General features: G+C 42.5%; 1 pseudogene, besides 2 other annotated features; it reads right to left on the bottom strand.

Annotated features, from left to right (window-relative positions):
- Nucleotides 1,767–1,927: a silencer, noted in NCBI's record as "fragment chr1:165571612-165571772 (GRCh37/hg19 assembly coordinates)". NCBI's record gives its function as "represses an EF-1alpha promoter that drives an FKBP-Casp9 reporter gene in an ReSE screen in K562 erythroleukemia cells {active_cell/tissue: K562}" and the evidence as "EXISTENCE:reporter gene assay evidence [ECO:0000049][PMID:32094911]".
- Nucleotides 7,317–7,389, bottom strand: TRK-CTT13-1 (tRNA-Lys (anticodon CTT) 13-1; annotated as a pseudogene).
- Nucleotides 7,912–8,119: a silencer, noted in NCBI's record as "fragment chr1:165565420-165565627 (GRCh37/hg19 assembly coordinates)". NCBI's record gives its function as "represses an EF-1alpha promoter that drives an FKBP-Casp9 reporter gene in an ReSE screen in K562 erythroleukemia cells {active_cell/tissue: K562}" and the evidence as "EXISTENCE:reporter gene assay evidence [ECO:0000049][PMID:32094911]".

Below are 13,104 nucleotides of genomic sequence, written 5' to 3'. Positions count from 1 at the left end.
GGGCTTTGTTTTTTAAACCTGTCTCTCTGTTTAAGGCCAGTACTAGAGGGCTAATAGGTTAAAGTCACAAAATGATTCTATTCCTTCATAGCTGTTATGATATCCCATAGCTAGTCTAGAGACCAAACTCCATCTAGGAAGTTCCTAGGACTGAGGGATGTTGTTGAGGTTGATTATTGGGAGATGAAGAAAATAACTGCAGTGAATTTCCAAAGATTATGCAGTGTCTCTTCCAGATTCGGAGTGACCAGGCACAGGCATCAGGGTTTGCAGAAAGAGCTGACTCAAGTAATCATTAACTTCTACCCAGAGCATCCTGGACACTGACATTTGCAGTGTCTCCGGGCTCTAAGAGGAGGTAATAGGGGCACTGGAAGGAAGCCACTCCTGAGGGAAGGATCACAGGGTAGTCTTTCTGCTGGGACCCTGTGCTTTGGGAAGTTGCTGAGCCCTTCCCACTCTAAACTAGCCATGTCTTTGGCTGAGGCCACTCCCTATTATTATTTTTTTAAAGACAGAGTCTCCCTCTGTCACCCAGGCTGAAGTGAAGTGGCGTGATCTCGGTTCACTGCAACCTCTGCCTCTTGGGTTCACGTGATTCTCATGCCTCAGCCTCCCAAGTAGCTGGGAATACAGGTGCATATCACCACACCCAGCTAATTTTTTGTATTTTTAATAGAGATAGGGTTTCATCATGTTGGCCAGGCTGGTCTCGAACTCCAGATCTCAAGTGATCAGCCCGCCTTGGCCTCCCACAGTTTTGGGATTACAGGCATGAGCCACCATGCCCAGCCCACTCCCTGTTTATATGTAGTCTTTGATTGAGGGACAGGAAACTGTTCTGCCTCTTCAAAAGGTCTGGAGAGGAAGGAGTTGTAGAGAATGCTCACAGAAGTGTAAAGCAATCCTATTTTAGTTCTTGATAGCCCCTGTTCCCCTAAAATCAGGAGATACTTTATTATTCACTTGCTGCCAGACTTCCATTAATTTATGAGAGTCATCATTGTAATAAGGTATAGAACATAGAATATTAACATTGGAAAAGACTTAAAGATCTAGTCCAGTCCCTCCTCCCCCTACTATTTTTGAGACAGGGTCTCACTCTGTTGCCCAGGCTGGAGTGCAATGGCATGATCTTGGCTCACTGCAGCCTGAACTTCCTGGGCTCAGGCAATCCTCCTGCTTCGGCCTCCCGAGTAGCTGGAACCATAGGCACAGGTGCATGTCACCACATCCAGCTAATTTTTTGATTTTTTTTTTTTGTAGAGTTGGGGTCTCACTTTCTTGCCCAGGCTGATCCCCAACTCCTAGGCTCAATCTATCCTCCAGCCTTGGCCTCCCAAAGCGCTGGAATTATAGGTGTGAGCCACAACACCTGGCCCAGTCCCCTTCATTTTGCATATGAGGGAAAAAGAGGAAACCAACATTTATTGAAGTAGATATTTTACATGTTACAAATCCTACAAGATGGATATTACCCTCATTTTATGGACAAAAGGATGCCACTCATAGAATTAATTAACTGGCCTAAACATACAAGCTATGTGCTAGGGGTGGGATTAAAATCCAGGTCAGTCTACTGACTCCTAGGCCACTTGTCTTTGGGTAATAATTCCTTAACAAACATCCAGTCAGGCACTGCTTTCTCAATTTTAATGCCCTAATCTATTTCCTCTATAGAAGATCATATCATCTAAAAAACTCAAACTGACTACTCAGGAAACTCTTGAAGATTACATAAAGTCAATCAACAGCCTTCTGTTACTCAGCCCTGTTGGACCCCAACGTGACTGGTGAAATGGCCAAACCAGTGGACTCTGCTGCATGCCTCACTTAGATTCCACTGAATGTGTGACTTGGAGATGCAGTGGAGGAGCTCACTTTTCTATTTTATTTATTTATTTAGTTTTTTTTTTTTGAGACAGAGTCTCACTCTGTTGCCCAGGCTGGAGTGCAGTGGTGTGATCTTGGCTCACTGCAACCTCCGCCTCCTGGGTTCAAGCGATTCTCCTGCCTCAGCCTCCCAAGTAGCTGGGATTATAGGTGCCTGCCACCATGCCTGGCTAATTTTTGTGTTTTTAGTAGAGGCGAAGTTTCACCATGTTGGCCAGGATGGTCTCAATCTCTTGACCTCGTGATCTGCTGGCCTCAGCCTCCCAAAGTGCTGGGATTACAGGCATGAGCCACCGTGCCCTGCCGAGCTCACTTTTCTGAAGGAGGAATTGCCGAGTACAGGACCAACAAGCAGGGTCACCTGCGAGTAAAGGGAATCCATGCTGAAACAATGAGAATTGAGACCTATTGAAAGAAAAGAGGAACTAGGGAAAGAGGACCACTGACTACGGAATGTGGGAGAAGAAAGGCACGAGGGTGTTTGCAAAGACAGCTTTTAAGGGTGCTAAGTTGTAAGAGGGCAGGGCAGCAGAGACAGAGCCCTTATGCAAAATGGAGTCACTTGGGAGGAAGGGAGTGCTCTGTGGCTGTTGTCCTATGCCACCTTGTGGCCACTTATCACTTCTCATCAAATGTTCCACCTTCTCTTATTCACTTTATATTTCTAATTACTCCTATATCCTGGAAAGTCAGCGTCACTTGAGTTTCACCCACAGCAATGCTTAATTTCAGTGGTGGATCTCAGGACACTGATTTCTTTGGACTCTCCTTGGTAGTGTGGAAGGAATTGATTGTGGAATACTGAAAGTTACGAGAGAAAGAGGTGGAAAGCAGTCAAGGTTCTCATATATTTCTTTTTCCACTGTGCTGCTAACATACTCATAGAGAAGCTATTGTAGAGAATTTCCACTATCAATGGATGACAATTCATACTGACCCTTGTATTAAAGTAGAAATGAAAATGGATTATGATGCTTTTACTGAATTCTAAGCAAAAGCTTGTTTGCTTAATTAATGTCCTGGACACCAAGTAGAGCCTATAACAATAAAAGAACAAGTAACTATGAGAAAGAATGCCCCACTGTCTTTGCTCAAAGAATGGTTGTATCAGAGACACTCCTGTGGTGGCAAGCTGCTGTGGGTTTGGGATTATGGCTCTAGAATAATAATAGTTAATACCTATTTAGCACTTCCAAATGCCAGATGCTATTCCAAGCACTTTATATAATCAACCTATTCAATTGTCACAACAACCCTGTGAAGTTGGTGCCATTAGTATCCCCCTTTTACGGACAAGGAAGCTGAGGTTGAGTAACTTGTCTAGGGTCACCACATAGTAATCACCACAGTGGAAATCAGAACCCAGGAGTTTGTGCCAGCAACCACTAGAGTGTTCTGTCTTCCTTATACCCATGTTCTATTTACAACATCGAGTTCACATACGTCTGAACTCTGGCCCTTCCTCTGTGTATCCTACTATTTCTAGAGTTGTCTGCCCTACAGTGTCACTTCTCCTGACTAGGAGCTTTTGAGAAAAGGCTTTCACTTCAGCTTTTTCCACTCATCTTTGTTCTCCTCTCACCGCCTCTTTTCCAAACACTCAAACTATACTGATTCAGCAATGAATAAGAATGTCCAGGATATTGTGATAGTTTAAAAAATGATGGAAGAGTAGGAGTTAGGGAAGGTGAACCCTATTTGAGCCTTTCCTCCCCAAGGTTTAGCATGCAGAGAGCCATTTAGATGGCTACAAGGTAACATCAGAGAACAACATACACCAATCTGCCAACATCGTGGGGAGTGATACTGAGCTCTTAAGGCCAGTGGATCTGAGGTCCAGACGTTAACAATCTTCCTTGTCCCCTTAAATGGCTTGAAAGCCTGAAATATAATTCACCTAAATTCTAGCAGCTAGAGTGACTTGAAACATCAGTAAGGTAGACCAGCTATATGAAAAGAGGAAAGGAAGAGTCAGGAAACAGCAGAAGCCAAAAAACTTTCTATTTGAGTTGTTAGAAAATTAAAGAGAGTCGGCCGGTCGCGGTGGCTCACGCCTGTAATCCCAGCACTTTGAGAGGCCGAGGCGGGCGGATCATGAGGTCTGGAGATCGAGACCATCCTGGCTAACACGGTGAAACCCCGTCTCTACTAAAAATACAAAAAGTTAGCCGGGCGTGGTGGCGGGCGCCTGTAGTCCCAGCTACTCGGGAGGGCGAGGCAGGAGAATGGCGTGAACCTGGGAGGCGGAGCTTGCAGTGAGCCGAGATTGCGCCACTGCATTCCAGCCTGGGCGACCAGCGAGACTCCGTCTCAAAAAAAAAAAAAAAAAAAGAAAAAGAAAATTAAAGAGAGTCAGCCTGCTGTTTCTAGTACCCCTTTCTCTGTTATACCATTTCAGAGCTCTACGGAGAACAAGACGCTAGACTCCTAATGAAGATAGATTCCAGCTAAGATTCAAAAATAAAACAAGAAAAACTCCCGAGGGACCTATGGGGAACTGACTGGGCAGAGCTGCTCAAAGATGTGAAAATTATAGTAACACTGGTTTTATAAGTCAGAGCCCAGATCATCAAAGCACAACGTAACATGGGTATATCTCCATAATGGAAAAGGAAGACCTTTCCTTTTATTAATAATGTTCCTGGAAAAGCAACTCTATATATAGGGAACTCAGAATTACAGCACCCTTTGTGTAGTCAGAAACAAGCTTGGAAGTGAAGTAAAAACAGTATAATAATGTGAGCAATGGGAAGCGACTTCAGCAGAATGGAGGCAAAGCCATTGTGAGAATAGGAGAGATTCAGCCAGGCACCTTCAAAAGAGAAGGGAAGGGGGTGACACAATGATTTGAAAAGTACAAAGATGTAATGTATGTAGGGCTTTAAAAATTAACATTGTTTTTCCTTTCAGAAAATAGACAAGGTCTGCACAGCTAAGAACAATTCCATGTTTTATGTGCATTTGATGAAAAAACAACTGAAGTAAATCTAAAATAATTCTGACGAAGAACTGACCACAGTCTATGACTCCTGAAGGTTTCTGAAGAATGTAGCATACATGCTCTGAGTGTTGATTGGATGCAGATTCTTTGCTGGTCATTCAGGCTTCCTTCTATCCTTTCTCTCCTGGGCCTATGAGTTAAATCAGCCATAAGACTGACAAACACGCAGCTTGGATTTTCAGGGACAGGACTAATTTAAACCAGCCACTTTCTCCACAAGTTCAATAGCTTTTTTTTCCATCTTGTATCCTGATAATGGACCAGAAAATACAGTCCTTTTATCCATGAAACAAAAGCTTGCAGAATTTTCATTTCCTTCTATTTTCACCTCCATTGGTTCAGCTGTTGTCTTTCTTCTTTCAAACTTTTCAATTATTTCTTTTTTCTTTCCTCTCTGTTATCTTTCATTATTCTCGTATTTTCCCCCTGAAACTCTAGTCCTTGCTAGGTCTCACTAGTGTGCAGAATGGGATTGGCAGAATACCAATCACCTCACCTCACCTTCCCTCCTCCCCTCTTCTCCTCTCCCTTGATTTCCCCTCCCCTCCCACTCCCTCCTTTCTTTCCTTCCTTCTGACGGTATTCTCTTCCCCAGAAGCAGCATTTTCTTCTTCCACTCAGAACCTTACTTCACCAACATGCCCACGCCTTCCCTGAACCTACAAAATTAGTGAGTTTCTCATGAGACCTGCTGCAACTGTCCCCACCCAGGGCTGTCATTACTATTATTGGGTTGTTTTGTTTTTCGATCTCAGGAGCAAACTCTGGAGTCGAGATCCAGTCACCTCCTTCAGCACACGACGGCAGGGTACCCGCAGGGTGTGATCTCAGACACGCAGGGGAGGGCTCCGTGGGCCCCTCGCATATCCCAGCACTCTCACTTCCTGGGATTTCTCTGAAACCATCCTTTTGGCCCCACAGGAACACTCGACTTAAAAGTCTCGGCTCCTCCCTTAACTGGAAAATTGAGCTTTAGTCACTAACATCCATTTCACACGCCAGGGGAAATACAGCCCCCTTCTCCGTCCTGTTTCTGCACCCTAACCCCGCCCTCCCAGGCAAGCTGACCACTCAGCTCGGGCGTGGCAGAGCCTGATTGGTGGATCACAGAAAGCGCGCTAGAGAGGGCGGAACTCATTGGGCAGACTCTCCGCGCTTGGGAAGTGCAGTCGCTCACGCAGGGACTTTGACTGCTGCTCTGGGCGGCCTGTTGCCACAGCAACCGTTGAAGCTCTGGGCTGCTGAGGTCGCCTGGCAGCGCGCTGAGCCCCACGCAGGTCCCGGGCGTGCCAGGGACACAAACCCCAGTTCCTTCAGAAAGCCTTCCAGATCGACGAGGAGAGATGGTATATCCCCGATGGCTCCGCCTCGGCTAGCCGGGGGAAGCCCTTTTATTCGTCATCCCCAAAGCATTCTTATTATTCACCCTTAAAGTAAAAATCCACTTGCTTTTGACCGGGGCACAAGAAATACTTTTATTTTATGAGTCAGTGTAATTGTTTAAAATAAGTAAGCTCTGAAAAGGTCGGCAATCAGCCTTTCTGTCACTTCCCTACTTTTGGCCTTTTATATGAAAAACAAAAACAAAAACAAAACAAAACAAAAACAAACAAAAAACCTTTCCTGATGTTTTTTTATATACTTGCTAGACATTTACATTTTGTTATTTGGGTGCTTACAGTGTGTTTCCGCCCACGTAGAGAGATTACACCACGAATCCCTTCCACCTTCTGAGGAAGTAGGTGCAGTTTACCTACTTTCCATTTTCAGATATGTTAAAAGAAGCAGAAAGAGTAAAGGAATATGTCGAAGTTACTCCCGGTGGGATTGGGGCTGGCCGTTGTAAGGGACATTCCCACCATCTCATTTCGAACCACCTTGGTTTACAGAGAAGAGACCTGGTTTTCTGTCAGAAGGTGGAGGGTACTGCTGGAGGAAGTGGGTAATAAGCAGACAAAAAGGGAAAGTGGGAGAATGTACCCGGCATTCTTGGGTATCCTCAGTGTAAAAATATTTTCCTTTCCCGAGTCGTTTTTATTTTATTTTTATGTATGCATGTATGTACACATTTTAGCAAATAGTCAAAAAGCATCTGGAACTAAGTAGATCAATAAGCTGGTTGGTGCCATTTTCTTTTCTTTTCTTTCTTTCTTTCTTTTTTTGAGACAAGGTCTCACTCTGTCACCCAGGCCGGAGTGCAGTGGCGCTCTCAGCTCACTGCAGCCTCCACCTCCTAGGCTCAAGTGATCCTCCCACCTCAGCCTCCCAAGTAGCTGGGACTACAGGCATGCGCCACCACACCTGGCTCATATTAGTATTTTTTTGTGGAGACGGGGTTTTGCCATGTTGGCCAGGCTGGTCTCGAATTCCTGAGTTCAAGTGATCTGCCCATCTCGGCCTCCCAAAATGCTGGGAAACACAGCGCCCAACGTAGGGCTCAAACCCATGACCCTGAGATTAAGAGTCTTATGCTCTACCAACTGATCTAGCTAGACACCCCGTTTTGGAATTTAAAAAGAAAAAGAAAAAAATATGACTGTTAAAGAATGTACTGGTTTTCTTATGTAACTTGGAAAGTGATTCCAAAGAGGAATTCCATGAACGTTCTGATCAGTGTGGCAGCGTCACTTGGAATTAGATATGTAGCTATAGGGAGTCCTTTGAAAGACAATGCTCATTTGGGTGTCTAAATTTCGATAATTAAAATTAGTCCATCTTTCCTTCTTTCTTTCTCTCTCTTTCTTCCATCTTTGTCTCATTTTCACACAAAGGATTTGGAGAAATGGCTTAATAGAGTCATTTCATTTAAAGCTACTTTGAAATATAAACAATAAACAAACATGAAGTGTATTACTATTATTTTAGGCATTGCCAAATTTATTACTGAAGTTCTTACTTCAGGTGAAACCCCATCTCTACCAAAAAATACAAAAATTAGCTGGGCGTGGTGGCACACGCCTGTTATCCCAGCTACCAGGGAGGCTGAGACATGAATCACTTGAATCCAGAAGGTGGAGGTTGCAGTGACCCGAGATTGTGCCTGCCACTGCACTCCAGCCTGGGCTACAGAGTGAGGCCCTGTCTCAAAAAAAAAAAAAAAAAAAAAAAATTCTTCTTAGTTATCACTGATTATATCCTGTGGTATTCAGATTAAAAGAGGCTATAGGTATGTCACTGAAAAAAATTATACATCTAAAAATAGAAAACATTGAACAAAATAATTTCCTGTTGACTTTGTAATTTGAGAAATATATTTTTTAAAAATTTTATTTCTGCAACCTTTTGTAGGGATTCCTAATACTCTCTTTAAATTTTTAGTGCCAATGTTGTTAATGAAATGTATAGCTTGAATTGCCAGAATTTGGGGGTTTTTGGGTCAAAAAGAGTCAAATATTTGCAGTTTCATATGATTCAACCTACTATGTGAGTAGGGAAATTTTTATTTAAAAATATTTTTGAGTTAATCCTTTTTTGATATGTGATTATCTAATGTATTGGTTTTATAAGTTAAGATTTTATACACTTACAGCAGGACCCACTTAGACTTTACCAGACTTTTCTGTTTTGCACATGTGTGGTATGATATCCTGACTAGAAATTCAGGAATTTAAGGGCAACCAGAAATCTTTCAGCACATGTCTTTCACAGCATTAACCACAATCTTCCCTGACAAGTTGGAGGTTACTGACTTTGAAACATAGCCAGCTGCTGGGAACTCAATGTGTATTCTTTCCATGACCCTTAGAAACTGGCTTGTTTCTTATTAATGATTTTTTTTGTTTTGTTTGAGGCATGTTATGGTCCATTTTTTTTTTTTAGTTAATTTCCAGATCTTCTGCCATTCTTCTGGTACAACTCATTTTCTTTGTGGTGGGTCTTAGCAAAAGATACCGTGTACAGAAAAGGGGCTTCTGGAAATTATCATGTTTCAGCAACAAAATTGTTTAAACATCTGACAATCATTTACAACCAAACATCTCTGGTCTCATCCATGGAAAATATCACACATAGCAGAGAAAATTGAAAAGAGCTGGCAGAAGATATCTGTTGAGTTTGTATTGTGCACTATTCAAGTGGGTTCCTAGGAAACCTCAGACCAGGGTTTTTTTTTTTTTTTAACTTCAATTTAACTTATTGGGTCTGTTCCCTTATGCTGAAAGTGGGGGATCAGAGTCTGGTTTTGAAGGCGAACTTGAGAAATTAATTAGTCCATTCTCCTCCTGTCTGGAAACTCGGCATCATGATTGACATAGACCCTGACTCCAAGGGGCAGATGGAGGCTCTTTGAAATTCTTGGACAGGCAGAATGTCTTCTGCCATCCCAGAATGTGCTCTGCCTGCCCAAGAACCCTGCTCATGAAGTCCAGTCTCAGGTACCACTGTGCTGAGGGCTCTGTAGAAGGAGCACCTCCATATGGTTTGGACCAATTGTTTGTCATCCTAGGGAGTAAGCCTGATCTTTTAATTCCTGGTTAGAAACTTTGACTGTATCTTGTCTTTAGGAGTCCATTGGCCTGTAGATTTCTCTAAGTCCATTTTTCCAGGATTGTTTTTGATAAGAAAAAGTTGTAAGGAACCCTGGTTAGCCTGAAAATAAGCCTTCGAGGTAAATAGGTTTAATCCTAGGATGTGACTAGCCTTTGGTTCACAATGACATTTCCATCTGCTTTAAAGACATTGAACTAGGTAGGGGTGAGAAGATTCTGCAGCGTCTTAGGAACATGCTTCTGAGGGGAATAGTAATAGCTCAACTTTCTCTAATATGAGAAATGTGAAGTTATTGTTGAGCCTGATAGAGCATATTCTTCTAGTATATAAATCACACTATTATTAATGTAATCTGCAGGATAAAAAACTTTGGGATAATTAGTGAACAAATCAGTCACTCATAAGGCATACAACCAGAGAAAATCAGGCTTCATTAGTTTGCTCACGATGAGAAGCTCCCGGTTAATAATTATAGTTGTCTTAATTGAACCTCAGATGGCAGTTTTCTGCCTATCAACTGAGCAGGAAACAGATTTTGGTTTCATGCCTGTGATCTTATACTAATTAATGTATGAAATGCGTTTCTTTACAAAAGCATGTTTGCATGTCTTTAAACCGGCGCTATCCAGTTGAAATACAGTGCCATCCAGACATGTAATTTAAAATTTTCTAGTAGTCCTGTTAAAAAATAAAACAGATGAAATTAATTTTAATGACATACTTTATTTAACTGGATATAGCCAAAATAGTGTCATGTCACTGTGTAATCAATATAAAAATAATTAATGGGATTTTAAAATTTTTATATGAAGTCCCAGAAATCCAGTGTGCATTTTACATGTACAGTGCATATCAATTTGGACTAGCCTAATTTCAAGTACCAATGGCCATATGTAGATAGTGGCTGTTGCTACTGTACTGTATCTATAGTTAGACAGAGGATTTTAGAGGGGAGAGAAAAATGGGGCAGGAAGGAGAAAGGAAAAAAAAGAGCCCCTACGGGTTAAAGAGAATCTGTGGCACCAAATCTCCCGGCATAGGCATCCCCTAAAGCTTTGGTTTCCTTTATTTAACACCCCAGCAGGAGATTGTAATCCGAACAATCTTATGTACTCAATATTTGCCTTAAAAAATTTGAAAAGTGAGAATAGGTGGTTTTGGTCTGTTAAAATGAGAATGGGCTTTTGTGACAGGGCAGACAGACCTGAGTTCAAACCAGCCCTGCTGGGTCTGAGCTGTGAGCTTATGCAAATCTGTACCTTTTTTTGGCTACACTCTAATAATAGGGACCCAATAATGGAGACGAAAATGCTAGTCTGGCAGGGTTTTAGTGGGGATTAAATTAGATTCCTTATGTGAATGTACCTTGTTGAGTCAGTGTGTGGTGTATGGGAGGTGCTCAGTCTCCTGGTGCTGTTATCTTCCTCTTACTCCATCTGTTTTTCTAATAAGGGCGCTTTTCTTAGCCTTTATTCCCTCTATTCCCTCTTTCAGGATTTGAACTGATTTCCTACTCCACATTCACAGAATTAAGGAAAAGTACTAGAGTACTTACTCCTTCACATTCATGACTCTACTTTCCTACTCTACATCCTCAGTTTCTGCCGCACCCCCTGCTCATAGGATTTAGTTGTGATTGTGTTAGGACTAGAAAAACCTTATTGTTGAAGCACCAGTAATGATGGTAATAACAATTCAGTGACTACCTATTCCAAATCCATATGAAATTTTCCATTAAGTCGCTCTAAATTTGTTAAGACCAGCCGTACTTCCATTTTTGGTCGATAGGTGGCAGCATTGTCTAAGTCACTGATCTCTGAGCTGCTGGTCTGTCAGCCAGTTTCCTTTTTGGTGCTACAATTGTAATTTTCTATGGTTCATTTTCTTAACCTGGAAAACTTTTTCTTTTCGTCAAAAAGTCTAGGGTAACTGGCTGGGCGAGGTGGCACGTGGCTTGTAGTTCCAGCTACTCAGGAGGCTGAGGCAGGAAGAATGCTTGAGCCCAGGGGTTCGAGACCAACCTGGGCAACGTAGTGAGACTCTGCCTCAATTAAAAGAAAAAAAGTCTAGGGCACCAGACTACCATGCCAAGGTGCCTATTAAGCCCCATTGGGGCTGGGTCCCTGGTAGGGGCCTAGGAGGGTGATGGCAGGAAAGAGCACTTTCCAGTAGGAGATCCCCAAGGGTCAACATGTGAGGAATGAGAGTGGAGAAGTGGACCCAGAAGGCTGGATGAAAGCTGGAACAGCTTCTATAGACAGAGACTGCTGATAGGCATCAAAGACTGGTCTTCTGGCAGGTTCACTGTAATAACTGGGAGCGGTTTTATTGCTCTCATCCCCCCTTATAAGATGTGTCATCTTTAAATTAGAAGAATACATTTGAAAAAAATATTCTGTGTTTTTAAATATTTTGTCACCTGGAGTTTCTATGCATCTTCTCTCCCCTCAGTACAATGAGAGTTGGTATTCTGAATGACAATCTTAGGGAATCGCATTATCCGACTATTTGAATTAAAGAGAGTCTAATTGTATTTGCAAACTTAAAGTTCTTACAGGCTTTCTTTTGCATTTCATCAGGTGAGTTCATTTGACTTATTTGGTGTGGATCAAGTGATTAACCAGAGAACATTTGGAGAATGCAGGAAAGATGCCATAGACAAAATAAAATGAAAGAAAGCTTTGGTTTCTTTGATTTAACACCCCAGCAGGACATTGTGATCAAATATCCCATTAGCTTTAAAATGCATGTATCTTAGAAAATAGGATAGAAACTATTAGTTATTATTCCAGAGGATGGACTAAACCAGAAAAACTTTTGAAGTCAAGCTACATGAATTCTATGACTGATCATGCTAACAAAAAAGAGAGCAGGAAACCACTAGGGTTATCTTGGTTTGTCTGTATTCAGTCATTTATTTATATATTAAAAAAAATTGGGCCGGACACCGTGGCTCATACTTGTAATCCCAGCACTTTGGGAGGCCGACGTGGGTGAATCACCTGAGGTCAGGAGTTTGAGACCAGCCTGGCTAACATGGAGAAACCCTATCTCTACTAAAATAATAATAATAATAATAATAATAATAATAATAATAATAATAATAATTGGCCAGGGGCAGTGGCTCACACCTGTAATCCCAGCACTTTGGGAGGCTGAGGCAGGATGATTGAGTCTAGGAGTTCAAGACCAGCCTGGGCAACACAGTGAGACCTTGTCTCTAGAAAATATAAAATTAGCTGGGCATGGTGGTGTGCACCTATAGTACTAAGTACTATGGAGGCTGAGGTGGGAGGACTGCTTGAGCCTGGAATGTCAAGGCTGCAGTGAGTTGAGATTGCGCCACTGCACTCCAGCCTGGGTGACAGAGAGAGACACTATCTCAAAAAACAGAAACAAACAAACAAAAAACCTAGCCACGCGGGGTGGCTCAAGCCTGTAATTCCAGTACTTTGGGAAGGAGGTGGGAGGATCACTCGAGCCCAAGAGGTCAAGGCTGCAGTGAGCTGTGATCACACCACTGCACCCTAGCCTGGGTGACAGAGCAAGAACATGTCTCAAAAAAAAAAAAAAAAAAAAAAAAAAGGCCGGGCGAGGTAGCTCACACCTGTAATCACAGCACTTTGGGAGGCTGAGGCAGGTGGATCACCTGAGGTTGAGAGTTCGAGACCAGCCTGGCCAACATGGAGAAACCCGTCTCTACTAAAAATACAAAAAAAATT

The sequence above is a fragment of the Homo sapiens genome, chromosome 1 (assembly GCF_000001405.40).
Source record: "Homo sapiens chromosome 1, GRCh38.p14 Primary Assembly".
NCBI classification, from domain to species: Eukaryota; Metazoa; Chordata; class Mammalia; order Primates; family Hominidae; genus Homo; species Homo sapiens.
This window is presented reverse-complemented; position numbering and strand designations above follow the sequence as displayed.